Source organism: Homo sapiens, chromosome 11 (genome assembly GCF_000001405.40).
Source record: "Homo sapiens chromosome 11, GRCh38.p14 Primary Assembly".
NCBI lineage: Eukaryota > Metazoa > Chordata > Mammalia > Primates > Hominidae > Homo > Homo sapiens.
In genome coordinates, this window is record NC_000011.10 from 42186377 (window position 1) to 42206656 (window position 20280).

The 20280-nt window shown below is 38.7% G+C and overlaps 1 long non-coding RNA gene across 1 annotated transcript in view; it reads right to left on the bottom strand.

The window, feature by feature from the left end:
- Positions 1-1366: 1366 nt before the first annotated feature.
- Positions 1367-20280, bottom strand: part of LINC02740 (long intergenic non-protein coding RNA 2740) — a 65948-nt gene continuing 47034 nt past the window's right edge. Inside the window, exons 5-6 of the long non-coding RNA NR_038309.1 lie at positions 2170-2280; positions 1367-1402 (exon numbers count right to left, since the gene is read on the bottom strand). This is a non-coding gene — a long non-coding RNA (long intergenic non-protein coding RNA 2740). The remainder of the gene's footprint in view (positions 1403-2169; positions 2281-20280) is intronic.

Here is a 20280-nt window from a genome sequence, read left to right on the forward strand (position 1 = left end):
GTAGTGCTTTGCAGAGAAGTTCACAACAGTGGCTCATGCCTGTAATCCCAGCACTTTGGGAGGCCGAGACGGGTGGACCACGAGGTCAGGAGATCAAGACCATCCTGGCTAACATGGTGAAACCCCATCTCTACTAAAAATACAAAAAATCAGCCAGGTGTGTTGGCGGGCGCCTGTAGTCCCAGCTACTCGGGAGGCTGAGGCAGGAGAATGGCGTGAACTCGGGAGGCGGAGCTTGCAGTGAGCCGAGATTGCGCCACTGCACTGTAGCCTGGGGGACAGAGCGAGACTCGGTCTCAAAAAATAAATAAATAAATAAAATAAAATAACAATGATAAATAAATATAAAATGTTAGATAATAGAAAATAGGGAGATAGCTAGCTAGACAGCTGGATAGATAAACTCAAACAGGGTTATATGACACAGTGGATAAAGAAGGCCACTTTGTATAGTGCAGCCAAGGAAGACCTTTCTAAAAAGATGACAGTTAAGCAAATACCTGAATAATAAAAAAGAGCTAAGTAGATAAGATACAGGGTAAAAATATACAAGGAATATATGTTTTTACATACTTTTGCACTCAAGGTGGAAGATAGTCCTCAAGGTGGAAGATCAGATATATTCTGACAACTCCCATGTATAACTGCAACCCTCAATTTCCCCCTGAATTCCAGATGGCACATGGACATTACTACCTGGATATCTAATACAAATGTCAACTTAAAAAAATGATTTTCCCCAAATTTTTGTTCCCCAATATTGGCAAATAAGACCACAATTCACCTACTTGTTATTGCCAAAAAGCTTAATCATTATTTCTGGGATAGAATCAAAAATCCTGTAGGATCTAACCTCAAAAGATTTCCTTGATACAACGACTTCTCAACACCTTCATCTCCACCCAATCACACTACCATCATTTTCCACCTGGACAATAGCAAATTCCATATATTGTCTTTCTGATTCTACTCTTTCATTCTGACATTTTATTTTCTGTTCAGCAGCCAGAGAGTTTGCATCCATTTTCTGCACAAAATATCCATTGCTTCCCTCCATCAGTTAGAATTAAATTTTGAACTTTTACCAAAGACTTGGGGTTGGAGTGAATGGGAAGATATTGGTCAAGGGTATGAAGTTGAAGATAAACAGGAAGAATAAAATGGTAAGTACTGAAAGAGAAAAAAAAAAATCCTTACCATGGGCTGGTCTCTCACTCCCTTTATACCTGTTTTCTTACCTCTCCCTTTATCTGTCACTCTGCTCCAGTAACTGTGACTTCTCTTGCTGTTCCCTAAACAAAGCACGAATATTCTTGTCCCAGAATCTTTGTACTAGATCTCAAGACATACGAAGGGATAGCAAATTCTATTGTGTCCATTCTTCCATCTTCAGCATCTCTCTCTGGAATATAAAAGTTCTCAATAAATATTTGCTGAAAAAATATTTGCTCTGTTGCCCAGGCTGGAGTGCAGTGGCGCCATCTCAACTCACTGCAACCTCTGCCTCCCAGGTTCAAGTGTTTCTCCTGCCTCAGCCTCCTGAGTAGCTGGGATTATAGGGGCACACCACCATGCCCGGCTGCTTTTTGTATTTTTAGTAGAGACGGGGTTTCACCATGTTGTTCAGGCTGATATTGAACTCCTGACCTCAGGTGTTCCACCTGCCTCGGCCTCCCAAAGTGCTGGGATTAGAGGCATGAGCCACCGCGCCCAGCCCCTCTTTCTTTTCTCTACTGAAAAAGTCTTGGTTTTCCTGGCTACTTGAGTGAACTAATCAATTTCATTCCATTCAAACAGTTGAACATTATATTTAACATCCTCCTAAACACAAATAACTGATAGAAGGACACATATGTTGCCTATTTTAACTGCAATAAAGTATATAAGTGCCAGAAGGAGTCACTGAACAGAACCTGATGTAAGAATTAGGTTTATTACAGTTATTTCCTGCACTAAGAAGACACACGGACCTAAGAATGACAAAGACTAGAGTTCAACGTTCAGCCTTTTCTTTGGCTGGGTGACATTAGTTATATAACCTAAACCTCAGTGACACTCTCCGAACCTCAGTGTCTTCATCTCTAAAACAAGAATACTAAAAACCACTATTAAACTTTGCTATGACTAGTAAAATAAAATAGGATACAGAAAGAACATGCAACAGAGTACTTCTTTTTCTGCTCCCAGTGAAGAGTCAAAGAGATCAGCCTTAATTATTGAGTACTTGCTTAAAGGACAAACCACCACCTGTTGTGCTTCTGCTTCATGAACTTCTATCTCCTGCTGACAAACCATAGAAACAGTGAGATATTAATTCATTACAACCATTGGAGAATTATGATATCAGAAGGCAAAGCAATAAACTACAAATGTTATGCCAACATTTGGTGCTGAGACTAGACTCCCTGCCAGTTCAGAGAGGTTGCTTAATAGGAGCATACTTCATAAGGAACCTGAATGTTTGTTTGCTTTTGAGAATCAGAGAGCCCAGGTTCTAGTCTGTTAGCTTTCCGTAGTAATGATTTTTTCTGTTTTCAAATAAAAATGCCAAGCTGAGTGGCTGGTTTCCCCTTTGGGCTATAATGAAGCAGCTTTTGAGAGTTCCAGAGGCCACATTTTCAGAAGGAAGCTGCAAAAGGGTGTCCTACAGCTTTAAGAGGAACCCAAACAAAGCCAATTAGAATAGCTTTCTGTAACCTTTCCAGACCTTCCTAATTCATTTTCTTAACAAGCATCAAATTTACTTACATGTAAAATCTGGTCACGTCTACTTCAGCAATAACGAAAAATGGTTTGATTGGACAGTTACAAATATTTATTGGACAGAACTAAATGTCTTTCAAGATTATCAGGTGTTGCCAGTGTTTATGCCCAGAGAAGATGTAATCATTTTGTTTTCATCACCTGTTGCTTTTTAATTTCCTCTCTCATTGAGAATCCTATTGCCACAGAAACAATAACATCACTGTCTATATGTGTATATACAAACTGCACAGGAGCTTTGGTGCTGGGACAAGATATGCTAAAATAATAAAGAAAAGCAGATTATGCCTTCCAAAGAGCTTTGAAAATACTGAAAACGATATGTTATCAGTGGCCACATTTACACAATGAAGATCATGAGAAGAAAAGAATTATAAATTTTCTGAAATTTATTTGAATATCTTTCAAGGATAAACTAAAATAATCTAATAAAATTATCATTACTATTTAGCTTATTATGGATTACACCAAAGACATAGCTAACTGAAGAGGGATGCAGACTCAAAAGAACCTGGGTCCAAGATTCAAGATGTTGACCACAAAATTGCTATGGGAATTGAGCTGTTTGGTTGTTTGTTGTTTTCTATGAGCTCCAGTCTCCTCAGTTGGAAAATGTGGTAGGAAATACTTATTCCCAGGGTTCTATGAAATGTCACATGAAATCACTGAGATGGAAGCTCTGTGAATATTGCAAATTAGAGTGCAAAATATTGGTTATTATTGTATATTTTACAGTAATATATATTTAATAAAAAACAAATCTGTGCAGAAGACCAGTGGGGATTTGGAGCCCCTCTGCTGCTTGAAAAAATAGTTTCACATTGTGTTTGTTTTCTAGAGCTTATACTAGTAAGGTGGTTTTTTGTTTGTTTGTTTGTTTGTGTTTTTTTGAGATGGAGTCTCTGTCACCCAGACTGGAGTGCAATGACATGATCTCGGCTCACTGCAACCTCCGCCTCCAGGGTTCAAGCGATTCTCCTGCCTTAGCCTCCCAAATAGCTGTGATTACAGGTGCCCATCACCACACCCGGCTATTTTTCGTATTTTTAATAGAGAGCAGGTTTCGCCATGTTGACCAGGCTGGTCTCAAACTCCTGACTTCTGGTGATCCACCCACCTCGGCCTCCCAAAGTGCTGAGATCACAGGTGCAAGCCACTGCACCCAGCCCATACTAATAAGTTTTAATCCTGTCAGGGACATATGGCTCTTCACATAAGTAGGAAACATTATCCTAAAGTAGCCTTGGATGAAGCCAAGCTCAAGAGGCCAAACCTGAGTAGGAAAATCCAATCGCATATTGTCCCTTAGAGTTTACAGTCCTGAATACATCTGAAAATAGGAATCAAAGACCCTCCCACCCCCACCTGCCCTAAGGAAAACTGACTAATTACCATAGAATAATGTAACTTCTCATCCCTTCCAGAGTGTGCTGGTGCTGAAAGGGCAATCAATGGACTAGGGAGATCTGCAGGGCTACAGCTGTGTCTCTGGGGCTTCTTTGACAAAGAGCATGATGCAGGGACCTATAATCCAACCTCAGATTTGAAAGAGTAATTTGTATCTAAGCAAAAAAATATTTAGTGGGAGGAAACACATACTATCTGAGCTGGTTTTCTAACCCTTTGTGAGTACAGACTAACACATACTATGACCATGGAAGGTTGGTTTGCTTGCTTGCTTTCTTGTTTACTGTCCACTAAGACTGAGACCTTTCCTTCAAAAACAAAGGCAGGAAATTCTCAAGAAATCTTTCTCTAACCTCTGCATTCCCTAACCCATCTTTGGTTAGGTACTTCTTCTCTAGCCCACATCTAAGTTACTATTTTCTATTGATTTTTCTCTCATCTCCACTGAACTCCTGGTTCCTTGAGGGCACAGGTGGAATCTATTCAGTTCCTGTTGTTACTACAGTGCTGAAGAACCTGCTGGTCTATATAAAGCATTCAGTAAGTATTCTGGAAGAATTAAAAACACATAGGAATCTGCTGGAAAGAAGTATTTAATACAACCTTTGAAGTTTTCAGAAATGTGATTTTATTATGTTATTGATCAGAACAGGATGATGTGAGATATTCTTTCCCTTTCAAAAACAGACAGCCAAAAACAAGAAAACAACAAAATTCCTCTTACCATTTTAGAAAGGGAATCAGATACTGAGAATCAGATTCTAGCACCTCAGGAATTCAGTCACATATCTTAAGTAGTAACTGTCTCGACTTTGTTGTTTCTGTCACACCATCTTTCTAAAGTAATTGCTAGCAATATCTTTCTAAATGAAAATGTCTGTGGAGAAGTAAAACTGATGTTAAAAATATGATCTTTGCCAGAGTGAAAGAAAAGAAGATAAAATTTGTTCATACCATAAATGGATGTACGGGTGGATAGATGGATAAATGAACCATTGAGAATAATTCAAGCAGGAAAAATAAAAAAAATATTGCAATGAACAGGAAGATGATCCATCCCCATACATACACACATGCATGTATACATGCATGCATATACATATTATATATGTGTTTACAAATATAATTATGTATAGTATACACACATATAAAATAAAGGAGAGACATGGAGCAATATTTAGACTTAAGTTACATGTTCTAATATTTAGTGGGAAAGCTTAGCGCCTATTCTGATAGGTTGAAATGAATGGTTTCCATGGTATTCAGATGCCATTTGAGGTCAGGAGAGCAAGAGATATTTGCATTTATTCTATGCAGTACAGAATAAATTATCTGTGTCCCTATGGTGTTCTCAAAATAGGAATATATAGGGTTGAGGGCAATAGAAGCACTCTATCATTATCTAGGTTGTCCTATGAAGAACATTTTGGTAAGCCAGGATAGAGTCCAGGTCTAGAGGTTCTATCCTTTCTTCTGGGTATATACACAAATATCAATACATTACAACAATCAAGGGGAATAAATGGACATCAGAAGAAAAAAAGAAAGCTGGACAGGTAGCCTTTGTGAAAGACAGGTATAAGTTGGGCACATGCAAAAAAATACAAATATCTTCACATAGATATGGTGACTATATATTCGGATATACCTGAGATAATCCCAGTTTCAACTGTTGCTCACTATAATTTTTAATAGTGCTTCTTTTCCTTTTAAAGGTGTCTTGGTTTAGATGATAAAGACCAAATTTATAGATCATCTTATTACCCAGGACACATGCATGGAAAAGGAAAATGAGCCAGAAGATTTTAATTTTAACATAGACAACCACCCTTCTGGTCAATACATGTGTCAAAGATTTGCCTAGATTTTATTTTCTTTTTATTAGAAATAGCTGCAAAGGAGACAGAAGAATGCTCAAGAATCTCTATCCCCTTGGCCTATTCCAATGTACACCTAAAATTTTAAATTCTTCTAAAATTTTAATTCCTTTACAAGTTTGCTTAGTCCATATGTACAACTATATAGAGAGAGTGACAGAGATTGTGTGTTATGTATATATACTAGATGTGTGTGTGTCTGTATATATATATATATATGTATATATATACACATGTCTACACACACACACACATATACCAGTCCTATATATATAAAGTTTATTCACTCTAGATATGGTACTTTTCCATTCCATACCCTTCATTTCTATCCTTATTTGTTGTGTGAATGAACTGTTTTTCTTCCCTCCTTTATCATAGGGGAAATGTAGAGATAATACAGAAACACTAATGGCAACATTTTTAAATTTTCTACTATAAGCCAGTCATGGATAGTTACATGTACATACACTATCCCTGTTATGGTCTGAATGTTGTATACTTCCAAAATTCATGTGTTAAAATCTAATCCACAATGTGTTGGTATTCAGAGCTGGGGCCTTCAAAAGGTGACTAGGTCATGAGGGTAAAGACCTGGCAAATAGGATTAATGCCCTTATAAAAGAGACCAGCGGGAGCGTGGCCACCACCCCCAACCATGTGAAGACACAAGAAGAGACCATCTATCTACAAGGAATGGGCCCTCACCAGCCCCTCAACCTCTAGATCCTTGATCTCGGAGTTCTCAGCCTCCAGAACTGCTATTAATTGAGCATTAAATTGCTATTGTTTACAAATTGCCTAGTCTAAGGTATTTTGTTATAGCAGGCTGAACAAACTGTGACAGTCTCTTTGATCTGCTTAGCAAAAAGAAAGAGGCAAGAAGTCAAAGAAGAAAGTAGGAGAGGTAACAATGGAGGCAGGGGGTTGGAATGGTGTGAAGCAGAGGTCATGAGCCAGCAAGGCAGGTGGCCCTATAGAAGCTGAAAAAGGCATGGAAACAGATTTTCCCCGAGAGCCTCCACAAGGAACCAGCCCTACCAACACTTTGTTCTTAGTTCAGAGAAACTGATTTTAAACTTTTGGGCTCTAGAACTTTAAGAAAATGAGTTTGTTAAAATAAACAATTTTACAGGATTTTCTATATAATTCCCATAGATATCTAGGGAAATGTATAGGATTAAAAGACTCCTGTGATTGTATCAGCCTTACTCAGATGATCCAGAAGAATGTTTCCACATCAAAATTTTTAAAGTAATCACATCCAAGTCCCTTATGCCATGTAAGGTAACATTCCTAGGTTCTTGAAAATAGAATGTGGATATTGTTTGGTGGACAATTCTTCAGCCTACTGCACCACATATACTGTACTTCATTTGCTGTCTCCGTGGTTTGCACTTTACCTGTAGTGTGAGTTGCTGTTTCTCAACATCCTCCTCAATACCCAAATAATCAGAAATGTATATTTTTGATAAACTAGATGAAAAACAGCCTCTCATATTTTTATCTTATTTCCAGTAAGTTTGAATATTTTTCATACATTTATTGAACTATTTTTTAGCCCTTCTGTGTATTTCTTGTTTAAATAACTTGTGCTTTTCTATTGAGCTGTTTGCTATTATTTATTTGCACTACAAGTTCTAAATACTAATGTTTTGCCTGTTAAAGGTTTGCAAATGTGTTATCCAAAATTGAGTAATCGAATTTGTAAATCCTTTCTTTCATGCTCTATGCTTTCTGCTTGTTATTCAATGAATGCTTTCATATCTGAAGTCAAACATAAGTTCTGTTCCAAATCTTTCTAAAAGTTTATAAGGTTCTGGCTTTTTTGTTTGTCTCATTTTCCATGCTCTGATTTTTAACCCATCTAAAATATATGTATTTTTCTCATATGTAAAGTAAGTACCAATTTAATTATTTTTCCAAAATTGAAAGCCAAATTTCCTAGCACCAGTATTTAAATATACCTGTTCCCCTTTAAACTGTTGGATTGCTGCCATTATATAGCAAGTTTCCTGATACATGTTGGTTCTCAGTTCTCTACTTTGTTCCAAATGGAGTCTATTATTGTATCAGCACTACACTGATTTCATTCACATATGTCAGCATTTGGGGGTGGAGGGTATTAGGGAGTAGTTTCTACATCTTTTATATCATACTACTAATTATGAAATTGAAATTACATATCTGTTTAGTGATATTGTTTTCTGCTTGATCAGGTTCCCAGGGAGTGTGTGTTTAGTCCCTCACTGTATCTGTTAATTTATCTTCATGTGTCCTGTATTTGTTTCTTTAGGTTTATTTGATCTTATATTAAGTTTCAGATCATTTTGACGATAAACTAGGCATTCCTTTTGTCAGTATAAAATATTGTTCCTTGTGCAGACACATTTCCTTTTAGTTTTATTGTATCTATTATTAATATTGCTATAGCATATTTGTTTGGGTTATAATTTTGCTGGCATATTCCTCTCTACCCTTTATTTCCAATGCATTTGGGTTATATTGTTTTCATATGTTCTACCAAATTACTTCCTTATTCTTTCTCTGAACTTCTACATAACTTCCATTATTTCACATTGGCTGGCACATATTGGACATTTCAGCTATGCACAATGAGAGAGAAAATAGAAAATAGATGATCATTATGTAAGTATCTATTAATACACAGAAGGAACCTAGTTTTGTTTGGAGACAGATCAGGATGTGAGAATACAACCTTTCACCATGTTTTTTCATTAGTTAATTTCAGCTAATATGATATGTTAGGATGACACATTCCCCTTCATTCTCCTCTCCACGGGCTTTCCTCCCAATTCTTAGTTCCCAGAAGAGGGAGATGTGAGCCTTACCAGGCTTGATAGCAGATACATGCATGTCAGTGTAATCACTTCCCAGTTTTATAATCCTGTGTATGGTATTTAAACACTCCGAGTCTTAGTTCCATCATTGCTCAACTGGAATTGCTCCCCACTATTTCATGATATTGCTCTCCAGATTAAGTGAAATGCCATCTTTAAAATACCTCATAAGGCTCATGAGGCACAAGGCATGAAGTTGATGCTCTCTGTAGCACCTTCTACATAGTGGATACTAATGAAATGCATGTGAAATGATGTGAAATTATGTTGGGTTACTTGGAAAGAAAAGTTATTTCCATATTTCTAAAGGCATGTAACACTTATCTAATATTAATTACATAAACATCTTAGACTTCTTTTGTAGTCTAACCTTCATCCCCAGGGAATAAGTTTAACAAACATAAATCTCTGCAGTCAGATCAAACGTCTAATAAAATAAATCACACAGATCTGTTTTTCTCAAGTAACAGAGCTAATATCATAAAGGCATCATTTCTCAAAAGAAAAAAAAAAAAGACGCTGAATTGATTTAGGATCTCTGTCAGTGCTACCCCAGCACATCATCAACAAATCTCTCTTACAAAACACTAACTTGTTTTCTATGTCATTCACAGAAATATCCCATAGGGAAAAACTGTAAGAGCAATAGAAATACAACATTATTAGGGGGTCAGACCATAGGCCTTCCTTTCTCTTTCTTTTTCTCCCTCTCTTTTCTTACATTCCTGTTAACACTCATACTTGCCAAGATTCCTTGTTAGAATGGGTATAGAAAATTGGTAAGTTTCAGCACCAAGGTAGTGGTGGAAGACTTAAAATTTACAGACAATGGAGAGAAAGTAACTCTGAAACATTTCTTAGGTTATTTATCAGGACCAATGACTGGCAAAACTACACACTCCGCAACATGTATTTTTCAACACTCTTACACCTCCCTTCTGAGAACTTCCTTCTCACCATTTGACACATTCCCCGTCAGAGCTAAGATTCTCTTGTTCACAGCACAAGTTCTGAGGTCAAGAAACTTGGACTTGAAAGAAATGAAAAACATGGCTTTTATACAAACATATAGTGAGCACATGTCAAAGGTTTATTTAACTCATAAATAGGGTAAGTAGCAGAATATTGTAAAGCTTGCTCGAAGGAGACTTAGAGAAAATAAGGAAATACAGACACTGAAAAACATTGCTGAAGTAAGATTACTGCAGAGATTACATGTGCATGATGCGCAAGTTTGTTACATAGGAAACGAGTGCCATGGTCGTTTGCTGCACAGATCAACCCATCCCCTAGTTATTAAACCCAGGATGCATTAGCTACTCTTCCTGATACTCTCCCTGCCTCCCCCCGAACAGGCCCCAGTGTGTGTTGCTTCCCCACCCCACCATGCATCCACATGTTCTCACCGTTCAGCTTGCACTTATAAGTGAGAAAATGTGGAGTTTGGTTTTCTGTTCCTGTGTTAGTTTGCTAAGGATAATGGCTTCCAGCTCCATCCACGTCCATGCAAAGGACATGATCTCATTCCTTTTTATGGCTGCATAGTATTCTACTGTGTATATGTATCACATTTTCTTCATCCAGTTTATCATTGATGGGCATTTGGGTTGATTCCATGTCTTTGTTATTGTAAGTATTGCTGCAATGAACATACACATGCATGCCAGACCTTAAAATAAAAGTTGAAAAAAAAAAGTCAAAAATAACAGATGTTGGTTAGATTGTGGGAAAAAAAAGGGAATGCTTATATAGAGCTGGTAGGAATGTAAAGTAGTTCAGCCCCTGTGGAAGGCAGTTTGGAGATTTCTCAAAGAACTTAAAACAGAACTATCACTCAAAGCAGCACTCCCATTACTGGGTATGTACCCAAAGGAATATAAATCATTCTACCAAAAAGACATACACATTCAATTTTCATCACAGCACTATTCACAATAGCAAAGACATGGAATCATCCTAGATGCCCACTGACAGTGAAGTGGATAAATAAAATGTGGTACATATACACCATGGAATACTATGCAGCCATTAAAAATAAAATTACGTCCTTTGTAGCAACATGGATACAGCTGGAGGCCATTATCCTAAGTGAGTTAATGCAGAAACAGAAAACCAAATACCATACATTCTCACTTATAAGTGGGAGCAGTACACAAGGACACAAAGATGTGAACAATAAACACCAGAGCTTACTTGAGGGGGAGGATGGAAGGAGGGTAAGGGTTGAAAAACTACCTACTGGATACTATGCTCACCACCTGGGTGACAAAGTCATTTGTACACCAAACTCCAACAACGTGGATTTACCCATTTAACAAACCTGCACATGTACCTACTGAACCTAAAATTAAAGATGGAAAAAAAATACTACAGGGAGAATAAATCCATAACTTTTACAGTTATCATTTCTACTGAACAGAAGTAATTTGCATGCCTACCAGAAAAATGCATCTCAAAACATATAATTTTACAGAGCCATGGTTCTAATCAATAGAAAATAGTATGTCAATCAAAAGTGCATTAAGCTACAGAACTAAGTAATCCTTAAGCAGACCAGTTAGACAATACTCCAGTAAAATTTTGAAAAGACATAGAGTCATCCTTTAGTGCATTTTTCCACATTTTAGATAATATTTCTTAACAGTACAAAATATTTGTCAAAGTTCTTTAATGTTGTTATGCTTTTCCAGATATTCATTATTACTGTAATTTCTACTACTACTATCAACACAATCATTAATTATTTTGAGGGAGCTTATATGCCTAGAAGCCTTTGGAAATGTATTATTTCTTTCATTAGCTTTTTCCCCTTATTTTTTGTTCTAAGTGGTTCAAATAGAGATGAGGAAAAACTTCGAAGGTTTTCTGAAGCTTTTAACCTAAAAAGGAAATATGCAAGAAAATAAAAGGGTAGAATATGTTCTGCAAGAGTTATGTACGTTATGAGGATACAATAAAGCTAGCAACTTTATATAATTTTGCCCAAAGGAGACAAAAAACCTCCATGGATAAAATCTTACTTCAGATGTATACCCAGGCAGCCAATGGGCAGAAGAATGAGACTTTGAGCTAAAGAATTATACATATACAATTGTAGCTGAAAAAACTCATAACCCACACTTAAACATAACTGAAAAGAGTTTATTGTGGCTAAAACACAGAAGGTATGGGGAAAAGTGATAAGAGATGAGAGTGGCGAGGTGAGATATCATCAACTTGCAAAGTTTTCTAGTTTTAAATCATAGAAGTTGCAAACAAATTGACATATTCGCATTATAAGCAAGAGACTGAACTGGGGGCCAAGGTACCTCAATTCTATTTTTATTTTATTTATTTATTTATTTTTGAGATGGAGTTTTTCACTCTTGTCTCCCAGGCTGGAGTGCAATGGCAGGATCTCAGCTCACCACAATCTCTGCCTCCCAGGTTCAAGCGATTCTCCTGCCTCAGCCTCCAGAGTAGCTGGGATTACAGGCACCCGCCAACATGCCCAGTCAATTTGTGTATTTTTTCTTTTAGTAGAGATGGTGTTTCACCATGTTGGTCAGGCTGGTCTCGAACTCCTGACCTCAGGTGTTCCACCCGCCTTGGCGTCCCAAAGTGCTGGGATTACAGGCATGAGCCACTGTGCCCGGCCAATACCTAGATTCTAAAACCTGTTCAGCCAATAGCTGAATTTCAAAATTTTTTCAAAGTTATTTCAAAACTTAGATTTTCTTTCTCGGCCTCTATTTTCTATCTGTAAAATGAGGGTTGCTGGACCACATGAGCTAAATCCCATAAATTGAACAATGCTTATAACATGCTGAGTGCCCTTGGGGTCAAACCTTTGAAAGTGACGGAAAAGGAGTAACAGTGGGCAGAGGGAGTAGTTGAGCCTAACGTAGAATGCAGAGAAGTCTCAGCCAACTCCATTAGAAGCTCTGGAGCTAGAATGGCCCTTCAGAGTAGTCCCGAGTTGGGTGGCCACTTGGGCTACTCCAGGACTTTGGGCAAGGTGGCTCTATAAGTGATTCAATCCTTGAAGGAACTGACAGTGAAGGCTATTGGCCAACAGCACTCTCAACACTGGGAAAAGAAGTCACTGGAGGGAGGCCTGGGTCACACATCACAGTATCCACACCAAAGAAGCTTATGATTAATCACATTCTGTCCTGCTATTTATCTTCCCCTTCTTCTCCCTACCTCGACACTGTTTTACCTATGTAAAATTATTTACAGATCCTCAAACACGACATGAAAGCATTTTTTTTAACAACCTCCAGCATTACCATCCTGACCTACTACTTCTGTGTTCTCAACTTAGGGATCACTTTCTTCTGAATGCTTTCCAGGACAACCTGGTATTGTCCAAGTTTCTTACTCTGTGCTCACTATTGGCCATTAGTCATTCTTTCTTCATGCATCTGACTACCCTTATAAATGGAACCAACTTGAAAGTATTTAATGGGTCTTCTTATATCTAGCACATATGAGGTACATATAGTAAATACCAGATGCATCTTTGTTGAAAACAAACAGACAAGTAAATGAATGCATGAATTTCAGAGATAGTAAATTAAAACGACAATGCAAGTACGTCAATCTAAAAATCTGAGAAACAATCGGAAAAATTAAAAGCTAAATCCAATACCTCATGTTCTTACTTATAAGAAGGAACTTAATGGTGAGAACACGCGGACACATAGAGGGGAAGAACATATTCTGGGGCCTGTCAGAGGTTGGAGGTTGGGAGGAGGGGGAGGATCAGGAAAAATAACTAATGTATACTAGGCTTAAGACTTGGGTGATGAAATAATCTGTATAGCAAACCCCCACGACACAAGTTTATCTATATAGCAAACCTGCACTTGTACCCCTAACTTAAAACAAAAGTTAAAAAAAGAAAAATTATATAATTTATAGTGGCTTATGTTAAAAAATTAAAAATTGTAACGTTACCAATAACAGAAAAAAAACAGGGTTGAGACAGAAACAGAAGCTAAATTTCTCTGAATATATCTTGTTTTGATAGATTCAACTTGAACTAAATAGTTACATAATTATAAAACAAAATACAAACTTTGCAAAACTATAAAAAACAAAATTAAAACAAATTATGAAAAGAGAAAATACCAATTTGACATAGGAGCTTTTTTCGTCATGAAATGTTCTGCATAAAGTGCCCAGGAGTGCACCTGCACTAGCAGAAGCCTGCGGGAGAGGCGCGGAGCTGTCTATGACTCACGGTTGTTTCCCTAACTGCGTTTCTTAGTGTTATCTTCTAATTTTGAGGTTTGATTTCTACTACCCCTTGGTTATTGGTCTCTTTTGTCTTCAGACTTCAAAGAAAAGAAGAAAAAACAAGAACCTCCATGCATGTGTACACTGTTGCACAACCTATAAGCAGCAATTTTAAATCAGTATTCTTGGCAAAGCTGTTAAAATGCCTTCATTCCTGGTTCTTCAGGTATTCTAATCGTTTATTTCCTGGATTTTTTTTTTTTTTTTTTTTTTTTTAGATGGAGTCTCTCTCTATCGTCCAGGCTGGAGTGCAGTGGCAAAGTCTCGGCTCACTGCAAGCTCCGCCTCCCGGGTTGACGTCATTCTCCTGCCTCAGCCTCCCGAGTAGCTGGGACTACAGGCGCCCACCACCACGTTCAGCTAATTTTTTGTATTTTCAGTAGAGGTGGGGTTTCACTGTGTTACCCAGGATGGTCTCCATCTCCTGACCTCGTAATCCACCCGCCATGGCCTCCCAAAGTGCTGGGATTACAGGCGTGAGCCACCGCACCTGGCCTTTACTGGATATTTTAAATGGCATTTCATATCACTTATCTTTAAATCAAATGCTTTTACATTTTTAATCCCTTTTATCATTAAAATAGTCCAGGGTGGGATATATTGGAGTCAATATTTTTCACGTAAATTACAGGAGACTCAGAGAGGCCACAGAGTTGCTTAAAGTCACACAGTTAGGTAGAATCTGCTCCCAAACCCAGTTGTTTGAATTCTACCCTGCGTCCCCTTTATATTACCATAGCTGAAGTAAGAATCTTACCATATTGTCTCTAATACCAACATTAGAGACATATTTATTTGGTACTTACAGGTCTTGGTGCTCTAAGAAATAAAAGACGAATATTCCTAAGAAGGGAATATGTGTCTAATGATGTAAAAGCAGAAAAGAAGCAGCAACTATTGCCTAGTGATTTAAGGTTGCCATCTCCTTTACTTTTTCAAAAACCCCAGTATACACATTCCTTTTACAGACAAAGAAATCAAGGCTCAGAGCGGTTGAACTACTTGCTTAAGATCCACAACCAATTATGGAAAAATTATGATTGGAACTCAATTATTTCCGGCTCCAAAACCTCTTGTCTTTTTATTATACATTCATATACCCTCCAGGTTTCAGACTTTCATCCTCCTTCACACTTAGAAAATAGCATCAACAAGTTTAAATCAAACCAAATTGCTCTGGTCCCTTGTGGGAACTGAAGTTCACGCCCCCACCTGCAATTCTGAGTGAGACTGCTAGATCCAGAGCTATGCATCATTTAAGATCATTAGTGTAAAATCAATAGCTGCAGGAAATAATTGTAAGTATCCCCGTGACCTTGCCCCCTGTGATACTTCATCTTTGAAGGTTATTTAATTAAAGTCCAAGCAAGATGGGTTAGCTCTGGAGTGTCACGTAAAGTGGAATTGACATGACCCAACAGGATAACGGCCTTCACTACTAGCCTTGCAATGTGTGGCTCAGGAAGAGAAGGTCTCAAAATATTTGGAGCCAGAAGACCTAAGATTCTGTGAAGGATCACTGCCTTGTAGGTGATTAGATTGTCTCTGACATTATAAGACATAAGCTGTGTACCAAACGTAGGCAGTTATTTAGTAAATATCTACGGAAATGCTACTGTATGCTAAATTTTCATGCTGTAATGAAGCTGAATATAATATCAACCCTAATTAGCCTCCAGGAGATCATATTTGAATGGAGGCAAATGTCCAATAACTATCTTAGTTGGTTCAGGCTGCTGTAACAAAATGCTATAGCCTAGGGGACTTACACAAAATACATTGATGTCTCACAGTTCTGGAGGCTGAAAGTTCAAAATCAGGGTGCCAGCATGATTGGGTTCTGGGAGGGTTATCTTCCAGATTGCAGATTGTTGAATTCCTCTTGTATCCTCGCATAGCAGAAAGAAGGCTCTCTGGGACCCCCTGTAAAGGGCCACACACTAATCTCATTTACGATGGGGTCGCCCTTATTACCTAATTACCTGTAAAAGACCCCACCTCCTAATACTATCATATTGGGATTAGATGTCAACATTTGAATTTTGGGAGGAAAAAAATATTTCACTTTGTAGCCCAATGTCTTCTGGTGTATGATATCTGCATAGACATAATTGCAGTATATACCTTTCAACAATCTAGATTCTGTCAAATCTTGTAAACATTTTAAGAGGGGGTAAATTTGAATACAATTGACCCTTGAACAACACAGGTTTGAACTTCATGGGTCCACTTCTATATGTGGATTTCCTTTTGCCTCTGCCACCCCTGAGACATCCTTTTCTTCCTCCTTTTAAGCCTACTCAACATAAAGACAACGAGGATGAATGATCTTTATAATGATTTGCTTCCACCTAATAAATAGTAAATATATTTTCTCTTCCTTATGACTTGTTAAATATCATTTTCTTTTCTCTAGCTTACTTTATTGTAAGAATACAGTATATAGTATACATAGCATACAATATATGTGTTAATTGACTGTTTATATTATAGGCTTCTGGTCAACAGGGGAGTTAAAATTGATCCATAGATTTTCAACTATGTGTGGGTCAGCACCCATACCCACTGCATTGTTCAAGAGTCAACTGTGTTTTTGTTCCATGTTGATACAGGAGCTAGAAAGAAATTACTTAGGCAGTTATTGAGGGTAAAAGAGTCCTCAGTAAGACTTTCCCTGTAATAAAAAGCAGCCCCCAAATCATTTCTTTTCTAACAATGATCAGCCTGAAAAATCAAGCTGCAGACATAGATAAGCAAGCTGGACACTTGCATAGGTAAATGCCGGCAGCTGTGCCAGTAGAAAAAGGCTACCTGGGGCCAGGCATATTCAACATGGAGGCTCCATCTTTCCTTTTCTTTGTCAAGCACATGTGCATTAAAGAAGCAGGCAACATGGCACCAGCCAGGTGGAGAACCTATCTGCATAGTAAAAGATTAGGGTGGATTGGCCAGCTTCTTTGCGTGCAGAGTAAATGGCACACCCTGTGCAACCAATCCTTTGTGCCCTATGTAAATCAGACACCACCTCATCAAGCTCGTCTATAAAGCCCTGTGCATTTCACCACAGAATCAGAAGACCCACTCGGGAGCCCCTCTCTCTCTGCAGGAAAAAGACCTTCTCTCTTTCTTTTTCCTATTAAACCTCTGCTCTTAACCTCACTCCTTGTGTGTCCACATCCTTGATTTCCTTGGCATGAGGCAACAATCCTCATGTGTTACCCAGATGAATGATACCACTTCAATGTCACCTCCCTTTGGAATTCAGACCACAGCCTGAATTTCCACGAGAGCATCTCCAATTCCCAGACTGCTGGGGTTCACACTTCCCTTGACAATGCTTGCTTTGCTTCCAATACTTGCAGGTTATTATCTACCCCTAAATTAATGCTGCTTCTATTTTGTAGTAATAGCACACTTAACTACTTGGCACCAAACATAAACTCAGAACTCACTTTATTTTAGGTCACAAATCAGTAAAAACATCCATTTATTCATTATTTCAACACATATTTGTTAAGAATCGACAGTTGTAGTTCTTTTATTAGTGAATAATTATTTTATAATCATATTAAATTATTTTTCTTACCATAATTAATTCTGATTTTATCTAATTCATATAACAGACATTTTCAGTGTACACACTAAGTGCTATGTAGTATTTAAAATGCCATGGATACAACCATAAATGAAACAGGTTATTTGCCCTGAGGAACTTACATTCCATTTGGAGAGGCAAACTAAAGAAATAAAAAGCAAACAAATCAATAATTAAATCTACTTTTATAGTTCTATGAAAAAATACAGGTAAATTAATTGGATACACAGTGTCTGGGGTGGGTATGAATATTCTCATTGATTGGGTGACCCTGAAAGAATACTACAAGAATATGAGAGTTGAGATTCATATTTTACTAAAATATTTACTGAAGACATAGCAAAAACAAACTTTAACCCGGAAACTAGGTATGGCTCTTCTCAAGTCTATAGCCCCACCCCAGCTCAAAGTGTGTACCTCTGTAATAGAGACCTGTGCTTACATTTTGTACTGTCAACTGGGTTCATTTAGGACTTTCATTTCCTAAAAGTCTTTTCTTGTATGACTCTGAGTTATTATTAAAGCAAACACTTACATTCTGAAGGTCTTAGATAGAATGTAAAGAATAGATAAAATGTCTTCTCTGCCTCTTCCCTCACCAAGTCCCACTGTCTTTCCTGATTGTTGACCTTGGGTAACAACAACATCCCCAGACTATTGTACAGTTAGGAAGAAGCTTTCCAGAGATAGCTCCATGGGCTTCCCCTTGGTGATCCCACCTGGCAGTTGGATGTGCTTGATGTCTTAGACTTCCCTACAAGTTCTAATGTATTCAACCATGTGTTTTAAGAGAAATACTCAGGGGCATTTTTAAATTGTCTTCCTACTTCTTTTCTAGACATGAGTCTTCCTATTTCTCCCACAATTCTGTACTTTCTAACTCCTTTTAAAAATATCTTATACCATTCCCGGGCAAGAAGGTCGAATAGGAAGAGTTCTGGTCTGCAGCTCCCAACAAGACCAGTACAGAAGGTGGGTGATTTCCACATTTCCAACTGAGGTAGCTGGCTCATCTCATTGGGACTGGTTAGACAGTGGGTGCAGCCCAAGGAAAGAGAGCAGAAGCAGGGTGGGGTGTCACCTCACCCGGAAAGTGCAAGAGGTCAGGGAACTCCCTCCCCTAGCCAAGGGAAACCATCAGTGAGGGATGGTGCTATCCAGCCCAGATACTACGCTTTTCCCACTGCCTTCACAACCTGCAGACCAGGAGATTCCCTCGAGTGACTATACCACCAGGGCCCTGGGTTTCAAGCACAAAACTGGGCAGCCATTTCGGCAGACACCCAGCTACCTGCAGAGTTTTTTTTCATACCCCAGTGGCACCTGGAATACCAGCAAGACAGAACCATTCACTCCCCTGAAAAAGGGGCTGAAGCCAGGGAGGCAGTCTTGCTCAGCAGATCCCACCCCACAAAGCCCAACAAGCTAAGATCCACTGGCTTGAAATTCTTGCTGCCATCACAGCAGTCTGAAGTCAACCTGAGATGCTTGAGCTTGGTGAGGGGAGGGGTTGTTTACCATTACTGAGGCCTGAGTAGGCGGTTTTCTCTCACTGTGTAAACAAAGCTGCCAGGAAGTTTGGACTGGGCAGAGTCCACTGCAGGGCCACAAAGCCACTGTAGCCAAACTGTCTCTCTAGATTCCTCCTCTATAGGCAGGGCATCTCTGAAAGAAAGGCAGCAGCCCCAGTCAGAGGCTTATAAATAAAACTCCCACCTCCCTGGGACAGAGCACCTGGGGGAAGGGGTGGCTGTGGGTGCAGCTTCAGCAGACTTAAACGTTCCTACCTGCCAGCTCTGAAGAGAGCAATGGATCTCCTAGCACAGTGCTCAAGCTCTGCTAAGGGACAGATTGCCTCAAGTGGGTTCCTGACCCCTGTGCCTTCTATCAGGGGAGATACTTCCAAGCAGGGGTCAACAGACACCTCATACAGGAGAGCTCTGGCTGGCATCTGGCAGGTGCCAGAGGAAGGAACAGGCAGCAATCTTTGCTGTTCTGCAGCCTCTGCTGGTGATACCCAGGCAAACAGGGTCTGGAATGGACCTCCAGCAAACACCAGCAGACCTGCAACAGAGGGGCCTGACTGTTAGAAGGTAAACTAACAAAGAGAAAGCAATAGCATCAACATCAACAAAAAGGATGACCACGCAAAAACCCCATCCGAAGATCATCAACATCAAAGACCAAAGGTAGATAAATTCACAAAGATGAGGAAAAACCAGCGCAAAAAGTCTGAAAATTCCCAAAACCAGAATGCCTCTTCTCCTCCAAAGGATCAGAACTCCTTGCCAGCAAGGGAACAAAACTGGATGGAGAATGAGTTTGACAAATTGACAGAAGTAGGCTTCAGAAGGTGGGTAATAACAAACTCCTCCAAGCTAAAAGAGCATGTTCTAACCCAATACAAGCAAGCTGAGAACCTTGATAAAAGGTTACAGGAACTGCTAACTAGAATAACCAGTTTAGAGAGAAACATAAATGACCTGATGGAGCTGAA